Source organism: Homo sapiens, chromosome 3 (assembly GCF_000001405.40).
Source record: "Homo sapiens chromosome 3, GRCh38.p14 Primary Assembly".
Taxonomy (NCBI): Eukaryota; Metazoa; Chordata; class Mammalia; order Primates; family Hominidae; genus Homo; species Homo sapiens.
Window position 1 is genome coordinate 137,893,717 of NC_000003.12, and position 7,208 is coordinate 137,900,924.

A 7,208-nucleotide genomic window follows, 5' to 3' on the forward strand; every position below is an offset into this window, starting at 1 on the left:
CTATACTTATGGCAATTATATACTTTAATGAATGTCTTCTCTCCTACATTGTGAGTTTACTGAAGATAACTTTTTTAACCAAATGGTTATCCAATTGTCACAACACCAAGCCCATCTTTATCTGACTAATTTGAGAGGTTTCACTTATCTTATATCAAATTCCATAGATATTTGGGTCTACTTCTTGACTTTCTATTATGTTCCATTTGTCTGCATATTTATGTAGTAATACCACACTCGTTTAATTATTAATGTTTTATATTATGTTCTTATATAATTTTTCTCCTTTTTCAAGGGTTTCCTATCTCTTATTGCTCCTTTTAATATGTAAACTTCAGAAACAGTATGGTAGGCAGAATAACGTCCTTCCTCCTCTCAAAGATATTCATGTCTTAATCCTTAGATTATGCTGTTGAAGGTTCTTATCCAAAAGCATGGTATGTCTATTTGTTCAGATCTGCTTTTGTGAATTGCAGGAGCATTTTAAGTTTTTGTCATATAGTTTTTACATTTCTTGTTCAATTTATTTTGCTATGTATTTTATATTTTCAGTGGCTATTGTAAATATTATCTTTTCTTTCATTATCTCTTCTAATTAGTTTGCATTTGTGTATGTAAACACAATGGATATCAATATATTAGTTTTATATATGCTACCTTACCATATTTTTCATTAATTATTACAGCTTCTCCAGATATACAACTATATTATCATCAAATAGGGATAGTTCTACTTCTTCCTTTCCAATTGTTATGCCTCCACTGGCTTTCTCCTGCTTGAGTACATTGACTAGTACCTTCAACACAATATTAAACAACAGTAGGCATAGAAGGCATTCTTGTCTTCTTCTTGACTTTAACACCTTTTTCCAGAAAAACCTAGTATTTCCCCATAAGTAGGATTATAGCCTATATAAGTACATTTAGAATCCATCATGTAGCTTATAGTTGAAGCCCTGTGGCTTCACAAAAATTATGAGGAAAAGAGTGAGAAGAGAGAGATCTGCAGACAAAGCTTTGGGGTTCACAAATTTTAAGGTGGTTGGAAGAAGGATTATTGTTTTGACTCAAATTTGTCAGCTTACTCAATTATTTTGGTAAGTTATAAATGTAATCTTAAATTATTATTGTGCACACAAGTAAGTTTGAACATTTTAGTAAACTTACCAATTACTATTTATTTATGTATTTAAAGTAATTAAGAATGACGGGCACCAGTTGTGGTGGCTTACACCTGTAATCCCACCATTTTGGGAGGCCAAGTCAGGCAGATCACTTGAAGTCAGGAGTTCAAGACCAGCCTGAACTATTAAAACAAGTTAGCCCATCAACAGTTTCTATATATCACAGTACCTTGCAGTGTGCTTTATGTTGGATGTATGGAAGGATGGATGGAAGGATGTTGGGCAGGTGGATGAATCAGATAGCTCTTCAAATGACTAACAATATAGCAAAAAAGCCAAGGGGATTTTTCAGGGTAAGACAAAATGGGGATGTTTTATATAAATGAACAGTCTTATATACAAAGGAGAAAAGGTAAAGTGGCACAGACAACTGATACAAATGTCTCAGGAGGATATTTGGTTATATATGTTATAAGCTTTTAAAAATTTCTTGCCTTTTTATCCATTTGTCCTGAGGATATATGGGGGTGTGGGAGGGATGGTTGCTGGAATCAGAAATGCTCACAAACAAATAAGCCTAAGAAGGTTCACATCAGTCTTATAAAGAATAACAAAGAATGAGCAGCAGCTTATATGTCCAGTAACAGAGATTTTGAATTATGTATGTATTATTAACTTATATATTTACTTGGATATTATCTGTCTTCATACTCAAGAATGAGAGGCAAAACTTTTTTCATCCACTGGGATATCCGCAGTGGATATATTGCAGAATCTGTATCTGTCTATCATCTCTCTTAATTTTTTTGGTTTAATTTAATATACAATTATTAAAATGTGCTTAGAAGTATTGTTTATGTGCCCATATCAAAAAGTTAGAAAATTTTCAAATTAATAGCCTAATATCACAACTAAAAGAAATAGAGAAGCAAAAGCAAACTAACCCCAAAGCTAGCACAAGACAAGAAATAACCCCAATCAGAGCTATGCTGAAGAAGATCAAAACAGGAAAATCATGTGAAAGATCAATAAATCCAGGAGCTGGTTTTTTAAAGAAATTAATAAGATAGGCCACTAGCGAGACTAATAAGGAAGAAAAGAAACAAGATCCAAATAAATACAATTAGAAACAACATAGAGTATGTTACCACTGATCCCACAGAAATATAAATAGCCATCTGAGACTGCTATGAACACCTGTATGCACACAAACTAGGGAACCTAGAAGAGATGAATAAATTCCTGGACATACGCACCCTTCCAAGACTAAACCAAGTAATTGATTCCCGTAACCAATAATGAGATTCAAAGTTGAATCAGTAATAAATAGCCCACTCACACAAAAAAAAAACCCATGACCACCAGATGGATTCACAGCTGAATTCTACCAGATATACAAAGAAGAGCTGGTACCATTCCTACTGAAACTATCCCAAAACCTCATTCTATGAGGCCAGCATTATCCTGATACCAAAACCTGGCAGAGACACAAGAAAAAAGAAAACCCTAGGCCAATCTCCTTGATGAAAATTCATGCAAAAATCAACAACATACTTGCAAAGCTAATCCAGCAGTACATCGAAAAGCTAATCCACCATGATCAAGTAGGCTTTATCCTTGGGATTCAAGGTTGGTTCAAAATACACAAATCAATAAATGTGATTCATCACATAAACAGAACTAAAGACAAAAATTACAAGATTATCTTAATAGATGCAGAAAAGACTTTTGATAAAATTCAACATCACTTCATATTAAAAACTCTCAAGGGGGTGGTTCCAAGATGACTGAATAGGAACAGCTCCGGTCTACAGCTCTCAGAGCAAGCAATGCAGAAGACGAGTGATTTCTGCATTTCCAACTCAGATCCCAGGTTCATCTCACTGGAGCTTGTCAGACAGTGGGTGCAGGACAGTGGGTGCAGCACACCGAGCATGAGTCAAAGCAGGGCAAGGCATCACCTCACCTGGGAAGTGCAAGGGGTCAGGGAATTCCCTTTCCTAGCCAAGCAAAGCTGTGACAGACGGCACCTGGAAAATCGGGTCACTCCCACCCTAATACTGCACTTTTCCAATGGTCTTAGCAAATGGCATACCAGGAGATCATCTCCCGCGCATGACTCGGAGGGTGCCATGCCCATGGAGCCTTGCTCATTGCTAGCACAGCAGTCTCAGATCAAACTGCAAGGTGGCAGTGAGGCTGGGGGAGGGGTGCCTGCCATTGCTGAGACTTGAGTAGGTAAACAAAGCAGCCAGGAAGCTCGAGCTTGGTGGAGCCCATCACAGCTCAAGGAGGCCTGCCTGCCTCTGTAGACTCCACCTCTGGGGGCAGGGCATAGCTGAACCAAAGGCAGCAGAAACCTCTGCAGACTTAAATGTCCCTGTCTGACAGCCTTGAAGAGAGTAGTGGTTCTCCGAGCACGGAGTTTGAGATCTGAGAACGGACAGACTGCCTCCTCAAATGGGTCCCTGACCCCCAAGTAGCCTATCTGGGAGGGACCCCCCAGTAGGGACAGACTGACACGTCACACGGCCAGGTACCCCTCTGAGATGAAACCTCCAGAGGAATGATCAGACAGCAACATTTGCTGTTCAGCAATATTCGCTGTTCTGCAGCCTCTGCTGCTGATACCCAGGCAAACAGGGTCTGGAGTGGACCTCCAGCAAACTCCAACAGACCTGCAGCTGAGGGTCCTGACTGTTAAAAGGAAAACTAACAAACAGAAAGGACATCCACACCAAAACCCCATCTGTACATCACTATCGTCAAAGACCAAAGGTAGATAAAACCAAAAAGATGGGGAAAAAACAACAGAAAAACTGAAAATTCTAAAAATCAGAGCTCCTCTCCTCCTTCAAAGCAACAGAGCTCCTCACCAGCAACAGAACAAAGCTGGACAGAGAATGACTTTGATGAGTTGAGAGAAGAAGGCTTCAGATGATCAAACTTCTCCAAGCTAAAGGAGGAAGTTTGAACCCATCGCAAAGAAGTTAAAAACCTTGAAAAAAGATTAGACGAATGGCTAACTAGAATAACCAATGCAGAGAAGTCCTTAAAGGACCTAATGGAGCTGAAAACCAAGGCACAGGAGCTATGTGATGAATGCACAAGCTTCAGTAGCCAATTCAATCAACTAGAAGAAAGGGTATCAGTGATTGAAGATCAAATGAATGAAATGAAGTGAGAAGAGAAGTGTAGAGAAAAAAGAATAAAGAGAAATGAACAAAGCCTCCAAGAAATATGGAACTATGTCAAAAGACCAAATCTATGTCTGATTGATGCACCTGAAAGTGACGGGGAGAATGGAACCAAGTTGGAAAACACTCTGCAGGATATTATCCAGGAGAACTTCCCCAACCTAGCAACACAGGCCAACATTCAAATTCAGGAAACACAGAGAATGCCACAAAGATACTCCTTGAGAAGAGCAACTCCTAGACACATAATTGTCAGATTCACCAAAGTTGAAATGAGGGAAAAAATGTTAAAGGCAGCCAGAGAGAAAGGTCGGGTTACCCACAAAGGGAAGCCCATCAGACTAACAGCTGATCTCTCAGCAGAAACTCTACAAGCCAGAAGAGAGGGGGGGCCAATATTCCACATTCCCAAAGAAAAGAATTTTCTATCCAGAATTTCATATCCAGCCAAACTAAGCTTCATAAGTGAAGGAGAATTAAAATCCTTTACAGACAAGCAAATGCTGAGAGATTTTGTCACCACCAGGCCTGCCCTACAAGAGCTCCTGAAGGAAGCACTAAACATGGAAAGGAACAACCGGTACCAGCCACTGCAAAAACATGCCAAATTGTAAAGACCATCGAGGCTAGGAAGAAACTGCATCAACTAACAAGCAAAATACCAGCTAACATCATAATGACAGGATCAAATTCACACATAACAATGTTAACCTTAAATGTAAATGGGCTAAATGCTCCAATTAAAAGACACAGACTGGCAAATTGGATAAACAGTCAAGACCCATCAGTATGCTGTATTCAGGAAACCCATCTCATGTGCAGAGACACACATAGGCTCAAAATAAAGGGATGGAGGAAGATCTACCAAGCAAATGGAAAACAAAAAAAGGCAGGGGTTGCAATCCTAGTCTCTGATAAAACAGACTTTAAACCAACAAAGATCAAAAGAGACAAAGAAGGCCATTACATAATGGTAAAGGGATCAATTCAACAAGAAGAGCTAACTACCCTAAATATATATGCACCCAATACAGGAGGATCCAGATTCATAAAGCAAGTCCTTAGTGACCTACAAAGAAGTTTAGACTCCCACACAATAATAATGGGAGATTTTAACACCCCACTGTCAACATTAGACAGATCAACGAGACAGAAAATTAACAAGGATATTCAGGAATTGAACTCAGCTCTGCACCAAGTGGACCTAATAGACATCTACAGAACTCTCCACCCCAAATCAACAGAATATACATTCTTCTCAGCACCACATCGCACTTACTCCAAAATTGACCACATAGTTGGAAGTAAAGCACTCCTCAGCAAATGTAAAAGGGTAGAAATTATAACAAACTGTCTTTCAGACCACAGTGCAATCAAACTAGAACTCAGGATTAATAAACTCACTCAAAACTGCTCAACTACATGGAAACTGAACAACCTGCTCCTGAATGACAACTGGGTATGTAATGAAATGAAGGCAGAAATAAAGATGTTCTTCGAAACCAATGAGAACAAAGACACAACATACCAGAATGTCTCGGACACATTTAAAGCAGTGGGTAGAGGGAAATTTATAGCACTAAATGCCCACAAGAGAAAGCAAGAAAGATCTAAAATTGACACCCTAACATCACAATTAAAAGAACTAGAGAAGCAAGAGCAAACTCATTCAAAAGCTAGCAGAAGGCAAGAAATAACAAAGATCAGAGCAGACATGAAGGAGATAGAGACAAGAAAAACCCTTCAAAAAATCAATGAAACCAGGAGCTGGGTTTCCTGAAAAGATCAACAAAATTGATAGACTGCTAGCAAGACTAATAAAGAAGAAAAGAGAGAAGAATCAAATAGATGCAATAAAAAATGATAAAGGGGATATCACCACTGACCCCACAGAAATACAAACTACCATCAGAGAATACTATAAATACCTCTATGCAAATAAACTAGAAAATCTAGAAGAAATGGATAAATTCCTGGACACATAGACCCTCCCAAGGCTAAACCAGGAAGAAGTTGAATCTCTGAATAGACCAATAACAGGCTCTGAAATTGAGGCAATAATTAATAGCTTACCCACAAAAAGAGTCCAGGACCAGATGGATTCACAGCCGAATTCTACCAGAGGTACAAGGAGGAGCTGGTACCATTCCTTCTGAAACTATTCCAATCAATAAAAAAAAGAGGGAGTCCTCCCTAACCCATTTTATGAGGCCAGCATCATCCTGATACCAAAGCCTGGCAGAAACACAACAGAAAAAGAGAATTTTAGACCAATATCCCTGATGAACATCGATGCAAAAATCCTCAATAAAATACTGGGAAATCGAATCCAGTAGCACATCAAAAAGCTTATCCAACATGATCAAGTGGGCTTCATCCCTGGGATGCAAGGCTGGTTCAACATACAAAAATCAGTAAACATAATCCAGCATGTAAACAGAACCCAAGACAAAAACCACATGATGATCTCAATAGATGCAGAAAAGGCCTTCAACAAAATTCAACAGTGTTTCATGCTAAAAACTCTCAATAAATTAGGTATTGATGGGACATATCTCAAAATAATAAGAGCTATTCATGACAAACCCACAGCCAATATCATACTGAATGGGCAAAAACTGGAAGCATTCCCTTTGAAAACGGACACAAGACAGTGATGCCCTCTCTCACCACTCCTATTCAACATAGTGTTGGAAGTTCTGACCAGGGCAATCAGGCAGGAGAAAGAAATAAAGGGTATTCAATTAGGAAAAGAGGACGTCAAATTTTCCCTGTTTGCAGGTGACATGATTGTATATCCAGAAAACCCCATCGTCTCAGCCCAAATTCTCCTTAAGCTGATAAGCAACTTCAGCAAAGTCTCAGGATACAAAATCAATGTGCAAAA